Genomic DNA, 14,096 nt, shown 5'->3' on the forward strand with positions numbered 1-14,096 from the left:
TGGAATGGACCTGAAAGGATTGGAATGGAATGGAAAGGAGTCGAATGGAATTGAATATAATGGACTGGAGTGGAATGGAATGGAATCTAATGGAATGGACTCGAATGGAATGGACCCGACTGGAATGGAATGTACTGGAATGGAATGGAATGATGTGGAATGGAATGGAATTGAATGGAATAGAATGCAATGGACTTGAAAGGAATGGAATGGAATGGACTTGAATGGACACGAATTGAATGGAAGGGAATAGAATGGACTCAAATGGAATACAGTGGAATTTAATGGAATGGAATGGACTCTAATGGAATGGAATCGAATGGGCTATAATGGAATGGAATGGAATGGAATGGACACGAATGGAATAGAATGGAATGGTCACCAATGGAATGGAATGCAATGGAAAGGACTCGAATGGAATTTAATGGAATTGAATGGTCTCTAAAGGAATGGAATGGAATGCAATGGAATGGACTCGAAAGGAATGGAATGGAATTGATTCTAACAGAATTGAATGGAATGGAACCGAAAGGAATGGATTGGAATGGAATGGACTCGAATGGAATGGAATGGATTGGAATGCACTCGAATGGAATGTAATGTAATGGAGTGCAATCGAATGGACTCGAATGGAACAGAATGGAAAGGACTCAAATCGAATAGAATGGAATGGAATGGACTCGAATGGAATGGAATGGAACTGACACGAATGGAATGTAATCGAATGGAATGGAAATGAATGGAATGGAAAGGAATGAAATGGAATGGTAAGCTATGGAAAGGAATGGACTTGAATGGAATAGAATGGAATGGAATCGAATCGAATCAAATGGATTGGAAAGGATACGAATGCAATGGAATGCAATGGAATGGAACGGAATGGAAAGGATTGGAATGGTATGTAATGCAATGGAATGGAATGGACATGAATGTAATAGAATGGAATGGACTCGAATGAAATGGAATGGAATGTACTCCAAAGGAATGGAAAGGATTGGACTATAATGGAATGGAATTGAATGGACTCAAATGTAATGGAATGATATGGAATGGAAAGGTTTAGAATGGAATGCAATGTAATGGACTCTAATGGAATGGAATGGAATGCAATTTAATGTACATGAATGGAATGGAATTGACGTGAATGGAATGGAATTGTCTCAAATGGAATGGACATGAATGGAATGGAATGAAAATGAAAGAAATGGACTCAAATGGAATTGAAAGTAATGGAATGAAATGGACTTGAAAGGAATGGAATGGAATGAATTGGAATGGAAGGGAATGGAATGGAATGGGATGGAAAGGAATGTAATATAGTGGAATGGAATGGAACAGAATGGAATGGTATGGATGGCAATTTAATGGAAAGGAGTAGAATGGAATGGAATGAAATGGACTTGAAAGGAATGGAATGGATTGGAATGGCCTCGAATGGAATGGAATAGAGTGGCCTCGAATGGAATGGACTCGAATGGAGTGTAATGGAATGGAATCACTCGAGTGGAATTGAATGACATTGGATGGAATGCACTTGAATGGCATGGAATGGAATTGAATCGAATGTAACAGAAAGTAATGGACATGAATTTAATGGATTGGAATGGAATGCAATGGACTCGAATGTAATGGAATGGAACTGAATGGATTCGAATTGAATGGAATGGAATGGAATTGAATGGAATGAAATCGAATGGAAACGAATGAAATGGACTCCAATGGAATGGAATGGACTGGAATGGAATGGAATGGAATGGAAGGGAATGGAATGGAATGGAATGGAAAGGACTGGAATGGAGTGGAATGGAATGGAACGGACTCAAATAGAATGGAATGTAATGGAATTGACTCGAATGTAATGTAATGGAATGGAATAGCTTGGAATGGAATGGAAAGGAAATAAATGGAATAGAATTGAAGGGAATGGAATGGAATGGACTGGACTGGAATGGAATGGAATGGATTGAAGGAATGGAATGGAATTGAATGGAATGGACTCGAATGGAATGGAGTGGAATGGACTCTAATGGAATGGAATGGTCTCGAATAGAATGGAATGGAATGGAAATAACTCGAATGGAATGGAATGTACTAGAATGGAGTGGAATGGAATAGAATGCACTTGAATGGAATGCAATGGAATGGACCCGAATTGGATGGAATGGAATGAAAGAAATGGACTCGAATGGAATGGAATTGAATGGAATGTACCAGAATGGAGTGGAATGGAATGGAATGGACTCGAATGGCATGAAATGTAATGGACCCGAATGGAATGGAATGGAATGGAATGGAATGGAATGGAATGGAATGGATTAGAATGGAATGGAATGGAATGGAATGGAATGGACTCGAACGAAATTGAATGGACTCGAATAGAATGGAATGGAATGGACTAGAATGGTATAAAATGGAATAGAATGGAATGGACTGGAATGGAATGGAATGGACTCGAATGGTACAAAATGGAAAAGAATGGAATGGACTCGAATCGAATGGACTGGAATGGATTTGAGTCAAAAGGAATGTAATGGTATGGAAAGGACTCGAACGGAATGGACTCCAATCGAATGGAATGGTCACAAATGGAACGGAATGGAATGGAATGCACTCGAATGGAATACAATGGAATTTAATGTAATGGCCTCTAATGGAATGGAATGGAATGGACTTCAATGTAATAGAATGGAATAGACTCAGATGGAATGGAATGCAACGGAATGGAATGGAATCCATTGGAATTGAATGGACTCGAAGGGAATGGAATGGAATGGAATGGACTAGAATAGAATGGAATGGAATGGACTCGAATGGAATGGAATGGACTAGAATAGAATGGAATGGAATGGACTCGAATGGAATGGAATGCAGTGGAATGGACTCGAATGGAATGGAATGGTATTGACTCGAAAGGATTTGAATGGAGTGAACCCGAGTGGTATGGATTGGAATGGAATGGACTCAAATTGAATGGAATGGAATGGTTTGGGCTCGAATGGAATGGAATGGATTCAAATGGAATGGAATGGAATGGACTCAAATGGAATAGCATGGAATGGAATGGCCTCGAATGCAATGGAATGGACTTAAATGGAATAGCATGGAATGGAATGGACTCGAATGCATTGGAATGGAATGGACTCCAATGGAATGGAATGGACTCGAACGGAATGGAGTGGAATGGACTCTAATGGAATGGAACGGAATTGAATTGACTCGAATTTAATGGAATGGAATGGAATGGAATGAACTCGAAAGGAATGGAAAGTAATGGAATGAAATGGACTCGATGGAATGGAATGGAATGGAATGGATTCAGATGGAATGGAAGGGAATGGAACGGAATGGAATGGAATGGAAGGTTATGGAATCGAATGGAATGCATTTGAATTGAATGGACCCGAGAAGAATGGAAAGGAATGGAATGGAATGGAATGGAATGGAATGGAATGGAATGGAACTTAATGGAATGAAGTGGACTCGAATGAAATGGAATGGATGCAATGGACTTGAATGAACTGGAATGGACTCGAATGGAATGGAATGGAATGGAATAGATTGGAGTGGAATGGAATGGAATGCAATGGAAAAGACTCGAATGAAATGGAATGCAGAGGAATGAACTCGAATGGCATGCAATGTAATGGAATAGACACGAATCAAATGGAATGGAGTGGACTTGAATGGAATGGAATGGAATGGATCTGAAATTAATGGAACGGAATGGAATGGAATGAAATGGAATGGAATGGAATGGAGAGGAATTGAATGGAGTGGAATGGAATGGAATGGAATGGAATGGAATTGAATGGACTCGAATGGAGTGGAATGGAATGGAATGGACTCGAATGGAGTGGAATGGAATGGAATGGACTCAAATAGAATGAAATGGAATGGAACCGATTGGAATGGAATGCAATGGATTGGAATGGACTGGAATGGAATGGAAAAGTACGGAATGGAATGGACTTGAATGAAATAGAATGGAATGGAATGGAATGGACGGGAATGGACTCGAGTGGAAATGAATGGAATTGAATGGAAGGGACTCAAACGAAATGGATTGGAATGGACTCGAATGTAATGGAATGGACTCGAATAGATTGGATTGGAATGGAATGGTCTCTAATGGAATGGAATGGAATGGACTCAAGTGGAATGGAATGCAATGGACTGGAATGGAATGGAATGGAATGGAATGGAATGGAATGGAATGGAATGGATTGTTATAGAATGGAATGGAATGGACTGTTATAGAATGGAATGGAATGGAAAGGAATTGACCAGAATGGAATGGACTAGAATGGAATGGAAAGGATTCGAGTGGAAAGGAATAGAGTAGAAGGCACTCGAATGGAATGGAGTGGAATGGATTTGAATGGAATGGAATGGAATTGAATGGATTCGAGTCGAACAGAATGTAATGGTATGGAATGGACTCGAGTGGAATGGACTCGAATGGAATGGAATGGACACAAATGGAAGGGAATGGAATGGAATGGACTCGAATGGAATACAACGGAATTTAATAGAATGGACTCTAATGGAATTGAAAGGAATGGACTCGAATGGAATAGAATGGAATAGACTTGAATGGAATGGAATGCAATGGAATGGACTCCAATGGAACGGAATGGAATGGAATGCACTCGAATCGAATTGAATGGACTCAAAACGAATGGAATGGAATGGATTCGAATGGAATGCAGTGCAATGGAATTGACTCGAGTGGAATTGAATGGATTGGACCCGAATGGAATGGATTGGAATGGAATAGACTCGAATTGAATGGAATGGAATGGATTGTGCTAAAATAGAATGGAATGGAATGGACTCAAATGGAATAGCATGTAATGGAATGGACTCGAATGCAATGGAATGGAATGGGCTCGAATGGAATGGAATGGACTCAAAAGCAATGTAGTGGAATGGAATCTATTGGAATGGAATGGTATTGAATGGACACGAATGGAATGGAATGTAACGGAACGGAATGAACTCGAATGATATGGAATGTAGTGGAATGAAATGGACTCGAATGGAATGGAATGGAATGGAATAGACTCGAATGGAATCATCATCGAATGGAATCGAATGTAATCATTGAATGGACTCTAATGGAAAAATCATTGAATGAAATCGAATAGAATCATCAAACGGAAATGAATGGAATCATCATCAAATGGAATCGAATGGAATTATCAAATGGAATCTAATGGAATCATCATTGAATAGAATCTAATGGAATCATCAAATGGAATCGAATGGAATCATCATTGAATGGAATCGATTGGGATCATAGAATGGTATCGAATGGAATCATCATCAAATAAAATCAAATGGAATCTTCGAATGGACTCGAATGGAATCATCATTGAATGGAATAGAATGGAATGATCATCGAATACAATCGATTGGAATCATCGAATGGAATCATCATCAAAAGGAATCGAAGTGAATCATCAAATGGAATCAAAAGGAATCATCGAATGGAATCGAATGGAATCATCATCGAATGGAATCCAATAGAATCATCATCAAATGGAATCGAATGGAATCATCAATTAATGGAATCAAATGGAATCATCGAAAGGAAACTAAAGGAATCATCATCGAATGGATTCGAATGGAATCGTCATCGAATGTAACTGAATGGAGTCATCAAATGGAATCGAATGGAATCATCATCACATGGTATCGAAGTGAAACATTGAATGGAATCGAATGGAATCGTCAAATGGAAACGAATGGAATCATCATCAATTTGACTCTAATGGAATCATCATCAAATGGAATCATATGGTATCATCGAATGGAATTGAATGGAATCATCAAATGGGCTCGAAATGAATCATCGAATGGAATCGAATAAAATCATCGAAAGTAATCAAATCTAATTATCATCTAATGGAATCGAATGGAATCATCATCGAATGGAATCGAATTGAATAATAGAATGGAATCAAATGAAATCATCAAATGGACTCGAATGGAATCATCATCGAATGGAATCAAATGGAATCATAGAATGGAATTGGAAGGAGTCATCACCACATGGAATCGAACGGAGTCACCATCGAACGGAAACGAATGGAATCATCATCGAGTGGACTCATCGAATGAACTCAAATGGAATAATCATCAAATGGAGATGAATGGAATCATCATCAAATGGCATCGAATGGAATGATCATCGAATGGAATTGAACAGAATCATCATCGAGTGGAATCAAATGGAATCATTGAATGGACTTGAATGGAATCATCAAATGGAATCGAATGGAATCATGGAATGGACTCAAATGATATCATCATCTAATGGAAACTAATGGAATCTTTGAATGGACTCTAATGGAATGATTGAATGCATTCGAATGGAATCATTAAATGGACTTGAGTGGAATCATCATCGTATGGAATTGAATGGAATCATCATTGAAATGAATTGAAAGGAATAATCATGGAATGGAATTGAATGGAATAATCATTGAAAGGAATCATCATCTAATGGAATTGAATGGAGTCATCATCATTGAATGGAATTGAATGACATCATCAACAAATGCAATCGAAAGGAGTCATCATCAAATGGAATGGAAAGGATTCATCAAGGAATGGAATTGAATGGAACAATCATCGAACAGAAACGAATGGAATTATGGAATGCACTCGAATGGAATCATCATTGAATGGAATCGAATGGTATCATTGAGTGGACTTGAAAGAAACCATCATTGAATGGCATCAAATGGAATCATTGAATTGACTTGAATGGAATCATCATCGAATGGAATCAAAAGGAATCATCGAATGGACTCGACTGGAATCATCATCAAATGGAATGGAATGGAATCTTCGAATGGAATCATCATTGAATGGAATTGAATGGAATCATCGAATGGAATAGAATGGAATAATCATCAAATGGAATCGAATGGAATCATCGAATGGACTCGAATGGAATCATCATCAAATGGAATTGAATGGAATCATCGAATGGCATCGAATGGAACCATCGTCTAATGGAATGGAATGGAATCATTGAATGGACTCGAATGGAAATATCATCGAAATTGAATCGAATGGAATACTCATGGAATTGAATCGAATGGTCTCATCATCAAATGGAATCGAATGGAATCATCAAATGGAATCGAATGGAAACATCAAATGGACTCGAATGGAATCATCATAGAATGGAATTGAATGGAATCATCGAATGGAATCATCATCGAATGGATTCGAATGGAATCATTGAATAGACTCGAATGCAGTCATCATCGAATGGAATCGAATAGAATCATCGAATGGACTCGAATGGAATCATCATCAAATGGAATCAAATAGAATCATCGAATGGAATAGAATGAAATCATCATTGAATGAAATCGAATGAAATCATCAAATGGCATTGGATGGAATCACCATCGAATGGAATCAAATGGAATCATCAAATGGCCTTGAATGGAATCATCATCGATTGGAATCAAATGAAATCATTGAATGGAATTGAATGGAATGATCATCGAATGGAATCAAAAGGAATCAGCGAATGGAATCGAATGGAATCATCGAATGGAATCCAGTGGAATCATCGAATGGACACGAATGGAATCAAAATCGAATGACATTGAATGGAATCTTCGAAAGGACTCGAAAGGAATAATCATTGAATGGAATCGAATGGAATCATCGTATGGACTCGAATAAAAACATCATCGAATGAAATCGAATGGAAAAATCAAAAGGAATCAAATGAAATCATCATCGAATGGAATTATCTCATGAACTGGAATGGAATCTTCATTGAAAGGAATCTAATTGTGTCATAGAATGGACACGAATGGAATCCTCACGGAATGGAACCGAATGGAATCATCGAAAGGACTCGAATGGAATCATCATCACATGGAATCGAATGGAATCATCGAATGGAATGCAATGCAATCATCATCGAATGGAAATGAATGGAATCATCGAATGGAATTGAATAGAGTCACCATTGAATGAAATCCCATGGAATCATCAAATGGATTCAAAAAGAATCATCATCCAAAGGAATCAAATGGAATCAACAAATGGAATCGAATGGAATCATCATCTAATGGAATCGAATGGAATTATCGAATGGAAGTGAATGGAATCATCATCGAATTGAATAGAATGGAATCATCATCTAAAGGAATCGAAGTGAATCATCGAATGGAATAGAAAGAAATCATCGAATGGACTCGAATGGAATCATCAAATGGAATCAAATAGAATCATCAAATGGAATCGAATGAACCATCATCGAATGGAATGGAATGGAAATGTCGAATGGACTCGAATGAAATCATCATCAAATAGAATCAAATGGAATCAGCGAATGGAATCGAATGCAATCATAATAGAATGGAATCGAATGGAATCATCAAATGGAATCATATGGAATCATCATCGAATGGAATCAAATGGAATCATCAAATGGCATCAAATAGAATCATCATTGAATCGAATTGAAAGGAGTCATCTAATGGATGCGAATGGAATCATCATCGAATGGAAATGAATGGAATAATCAAATGGACACGAATGGAATTTTCATTTAATGGAATTGAATGGAATCATCATCAAACGGAATTGATTTGAATCCTCATCGGATGGAATCTAATGGAATCATCAAATGGAATAGAAAGGAATCATCATCTAATGGAATTGAATAGAATCATCAAATGAAAACGAATGGAATCATCATTGAATGGAATCAAATGGAATCATAATCAAATGGAATCTAATGGAATCATCAACGAATGGAATCCAATGGAATCATCATCAAAAGGAACGGAATGGAATCATCGAATGGAAACGAATGGAATCATCGAATGGATTCGAATAGAATCACCATCGAATGGAAAAGAAAGGAATCATCGAATGGACTCGAATGTAATCATCATGGAATAGAATCGAATGGAATCATCGAATAGACACAAATGGAATCATCATTGAATGGAATCAAATGGAATCATCGAATGGACTCAAATGGAATCATCATTGAATGGAATCAAATGGAACCATCGAATGACATTGAATAGAATAATGAATGAATGGAATCTAAAGGAATAATCAAATGGACTCGAATGGAATCATCGAATGGACTCGAGTGGAATCATCATTGAATGGACTCGAGTGGAATCATCATTGAATGGAATCGAATGGAATCATCAAATGGACTCGAATGGAATCATCATCAAATGGAATCTAATGGAATCATCGAAGAGACTGGAATGGAATCATAATCAAATGGAATCGAATGGAATCATCGAATGACATCGAATGGAATCATCATTGAATGGAATGGAATGGAGTCATCAAATGGAATCAAATGGAATCATCATTGAATGGAATCGAATGGACTCATTGAATGGAATCAAATGGAATCATCATCGAATGGAATCAAATTGAATCATCGATTGGAATAGAATGCAATCATCTCAAACAGAATCAAATAGAATCATCCAATGGAATCGAATGGAATCATCATCGAATAGAATCAAATGGAACCATAGAATGGTATCGAATGGGATCATCATCAAATGGAACCGAATGGAATCATCATGGAATGGAATCAAAAGCAAAAATCGAATGGATTTGTAAAGAATCATCAAATGGACATGAATGGAATCATCATCCAATGGAATGGAATGGAATTAATGAATGGAATCATATGGAATCATCATTGAATGGAATCGAATGGAATCATCTAACAGACAGTAATGGAATCCTCATCGAATGGAATCGAATGGAATAATCGAATGGAAACGAATGGAATCCCCATCGAATGGAAGCAAATGGAATCATCAAACGGACCCGAATGCAATCATCATCAAATGGAATCGAACGGAATCTTCATTGAATGGACTTGAATGGAATTATCAAATGGACTCGAATGGAATCATCGAATGGAATTGAATGGAATCATCACAGAATGAATTGAATGGAATCATTGAATGGTCTCGAAAGGAATAATTATCAAATGGAATCGAATGTAATCACCGAATAAAATCGAATGGAATAATCATTGAATGGACTCGAATGGAATCATCATCAAATGGAATCGAACGGAATTATCGAATGGAATCGAATAGAATCATCGAATGGACTCAAATGCAATCAATGAATGGACTCGAATGCAATCATCAAATGGAATGTAATGGAATAATCAATGAACTCGAATGGAATCATCATTGAATGGGAACGAATGGAATCATTGAATGGAATCGAATGGAAACATCATTGAATGCAATCAAAAAGAATCATCAGCAAATGGAATCGAATGGAATCATCATCGAATGGAATACAAGGGAATCATCATCGAATGCAACCAAATGGAATCATCATCGAATGGACCGAAAGGAGTCATCATCGAATGGAATCGCATGGAAACATCATCAAATGGAATTGAATGGAATCATCATCAAAATGGAATCTAATGGAATCATTGAATGGAATTGAACAGAATCATTATCAAATGAATTCAATGGAATTATTGAATGGTCTCGAATGGAATCATCATCAAATGGAATCGAATGGAATCATCGAATAGAATCGAATGGAATAATCATCAAATGGACTCGAATGGAATCAACATCAAATGGAATTGAACGGAATTATCGAATGGAATCAAATAGAATCATCGAATGGACTCGAATGGAATCATCAAATGGAAAGGAATGGAATAATAAATGGACTCGAATGGAATCATCATCGAATGGAATTGAAAGGAATCATGGAATGGACTCGAATGGAATCATCATCAAATGGAATCAAATGGAATCATCCAATGGACTCGAAAGTAATCGTCATCAAATGGAATCAAATGGAATCATCGAATGGACTCAAATGGAATCTTCATCGAATGGAATCATTGAATGGACTCGAATGGAATCATGGAATGGACTCGAATGGAATCATTGAATGGACTCGAATGGAATCATGGAATGGACTCGAATGGAATCATCATCAAATGGTATCGAATGGAAACATTGAATTTACTCGAATGGAATCATCAAATGGAATTGAAAGGAATCATCATCAGATGGAAACGAATGGAATAATCATCGAATGGAATCAAATGGAATCATTGAATGGAATCAGATGGAATCATCATCGAATGGAATCGAATAGAATTATCAAATGAAATCGAATGTGATCATCATCAAATGGACGTGAATGGAATCATCAACGAATGGACTCGAATGGAATCATCATCCAATGGAATCGAATGGAATCAACATCAAATGGAATCGAATGGAAACACCATTGAATTGAATGGAATGGAATCATCATGGAATTGAAATGGATGAACTCATCATCGAATGGATTTGAATGGAATCATCGAATGGAATTGATTGGAATAATCATCAAATGGAATCGAATGGTATCATTGAATGGAATCAAATGGAATAATCATCAGATGGAAACGAATGGAATCATCATAGAATGGAATTGAATGGATTCATGGAATGGAATCATCATCGAATGGAATCGAATGGAATCATCAAAATAAATGGAATGGAATCATCATCGAATGGACTCGAATGGAATCATCATCCAATGGAATCGAATGGAATCAACATCAAATGGAATCAAATGGAAACAACATCGAATTGAATTGAATGGAATCATCATGGAATTGAAGCGAATGGACTCATCATCGAATGGATTCGAAAGGAATCATCAAATGGAATCGATTGGAATTATCGAATGGAATCGAAAGGAATCATCGAATGGAATCGATTGGAATCATCATCGAATGGAATCGAATGGAATCGTCGAATGGTCTTGAATGCAATGATTGAATGGAATCGAATGCAATCATTGAATGGACTGGAAAGGAATCATCATTGAATGGAATGGAATGGTATCATTGAATGGAATCGAATGGAATCATTGAATGGCATCAAATGGAATCATCATCCAATGGAATCAAATGGAATCATCTAACGGACTCATGTGGAATCATCATCAAAAGGAGTCGAGTGCAATCATCGAATGGACATGAATGGAATCATCATCGAATGGAATCAAATGGAATCACCATCACATGGAATAGGATGGAATCATCATCAAATGGTGTCAAAAGGAAACATAGAATGGAATCAAAAGGAAAAAATAGAATGGAATCGAATGGAATCATCATTGCATGGAATTGAATGGAATCATCGAATGGAATCATCATTGAATGAAATCAAAAAGTATCATCTAATGTAATTGAATGCAATCATCATCGAATGGAATCAAATGTAATAATCATCTATTGGAATCCCAAGGAATCATCATCGAATGTATTCGACTGAAATCAACTTCCAATGGAATTGAATGGAATGATCAAATGGAATCGAATGGAATCATCATGGAATGGAATAGAATGGAATCATTGAATGGAATCGAATGAATCCTCATCGAATGGAATCGAATGGAATCCTCCAATTTAATCGAATGGAATCATCAAATGGAATCGAATGAATCATCATCGAATGCAATAGACATGAATCATCGAATGGAATCCAATGGAATCATTATGGAATGGAATCGAATGGAATAATCTAATGGAATCATCATCAAATGGAATCAAAAAGAATCATCAAATGGAATTAATGCAATCATCATCGAATGAAATTGATTGGAATCATCAAAAGGAATCGAGTAGATTCAACATCGCATTTAATCAGATGGAATAATAAAATGGAATCAAATGGAATCATCACATGGAATCGAATGGAATCATCATCGAATGGAATCGAATGGAATCATCAATGAATGGAATCGAATGGAATCATGGAATGGAATCAATTGGAATCATCATCACATGGAATCAAATGGAATCATCAAATGGAATTGAATGGAATAATCATCAAATGGAATCGAATGGAATCATTGAATGGAATCGAATGGAGTCATCGAATGAATCGAATGGAATCGTCATCGAATGGAATCTAATGGAATCATCGAATGGAATTGAATGGAATCATCATTGAATGGAATTGAATGGAATCGTCATCGAATGGAATCGAATGGAGTCATTGAAAGGAATCGAATGGAACATTCATCAAATGGAATTGAATGAAAACCTCAAATGGAATGGAAAGCAATCATTGAATGGAATCGAATGGACTCATCATCAAATGGAATCAAATGGAATCATAGAACGGAATCGAATGGAATCATCATCGAATGGAATCAACTGGAATCATCATTGAATGGAATCAAAAGGAAACATTGAATGGAATCGAATGGAATCATCAAATGAAATTGAATGGAATCATCATCGAATGGAGTCAAATGGAATCATCGAATGGAATCAAATGGAATCATCCAATGGAATCGAATGGAAAAATCATTGAATGGAAACATCTAATGGAATCGGGTGGAATCATCAAATGGAATCGAATGGTGTCATCCTAGAATGGAATCATCCAATGAAAACAAACGGAATCAGAAAATGGAATCAAATGGAATCATCAAATGGAATCGAATGGAATAATCATCCAATGGAATTGAATGGAGTAATCTGATGGAATCAAATGGAATCATCATAAAATGGAATTGAATGCAATCATGGAATGGAATCGAATGGAATCATTATCGCGTGGAATCGAATGGAATCATCATCACATGGAATCGAATGGAATCATCATGAAATGGTATCGAAAGGAAACGTCGAATGGAATTGAATGGAATAAATTGAATGGAATCGAATGGAATCATCATCGAATGGAATTGAATTGAATCATTGAATAGAATCATCAATGAATGAAATTGAAAAAGATCATCGAATGAAGACAATTGCAATCATCATCGAATTTAATCAAAAGGAATCATCATCGAATGAAATTGAATGGAACCATTGAAAGGAATCGAATGGAATAGTCATTGAATGGAATCGAATGGAATCATCGAACGGAATCAAATGGAACAATCCAATGGAATCGAACAGAATCATCGAATGGAATCAAATGGAATCATTGAGTGGAATGGAATGGAATCATTGAATGGAATCATCATCCAATGGAATCTAATGCAATCAACATCGAATGGAATCGAATGGAATCATT

The 14,096-nt window shown here is 36.7% G+C and overlaps 2 annotated features.

Moving 5' to 3' along the window:
• Positions 5,861-6,362: an enhancer, noted in NCBI's record as "NANOG hESC enhancer chr10:38876229-38876730 (GRCh37/hg19 assembly coordinates)". NCBI's record gives its function as "activates a minimal SCP1, AML or CMV promoter by ChIP-STARR-seq in primed H9 embryonic stem cells {active_cell/tissue: H9 hESC(primed)}" and the evidence as "EXISTENCE:reporter gene assay evidence [ECO:0000049][PMID:30033119]".
• Positions 6,651-7,544: an enhancer, noted in NCBI's record as "OCT4-NANOG hESC enhancer chr10:38877019-38877912 (GRCh37/hg19 assembly coordinates)". NCBI's record gives its function as "activates a minimal SCP1, AML or CMV promoter by ChIP-STARR-seq in primed H9 embryonic stem cells {active_cell/tissue: H9 hESC(primed)}" and the evidence as "EXISTENCE:reporter gene assay evidence [ECO:0000049][PMID:30033119]".

The sequence above is a fragment of the Homo sapiens genome, chromosome 10 (genome assembly GCF_000001405.40).
Source record: "Homo sapiens chromosome 10, GRCh38.p14 Primary Assembly".
Lineage (NCBI taxonomy): Eukaryota > Metazoa > Chordata > Mammalia > Primates > Hominidae > Homo > Homo sapiens.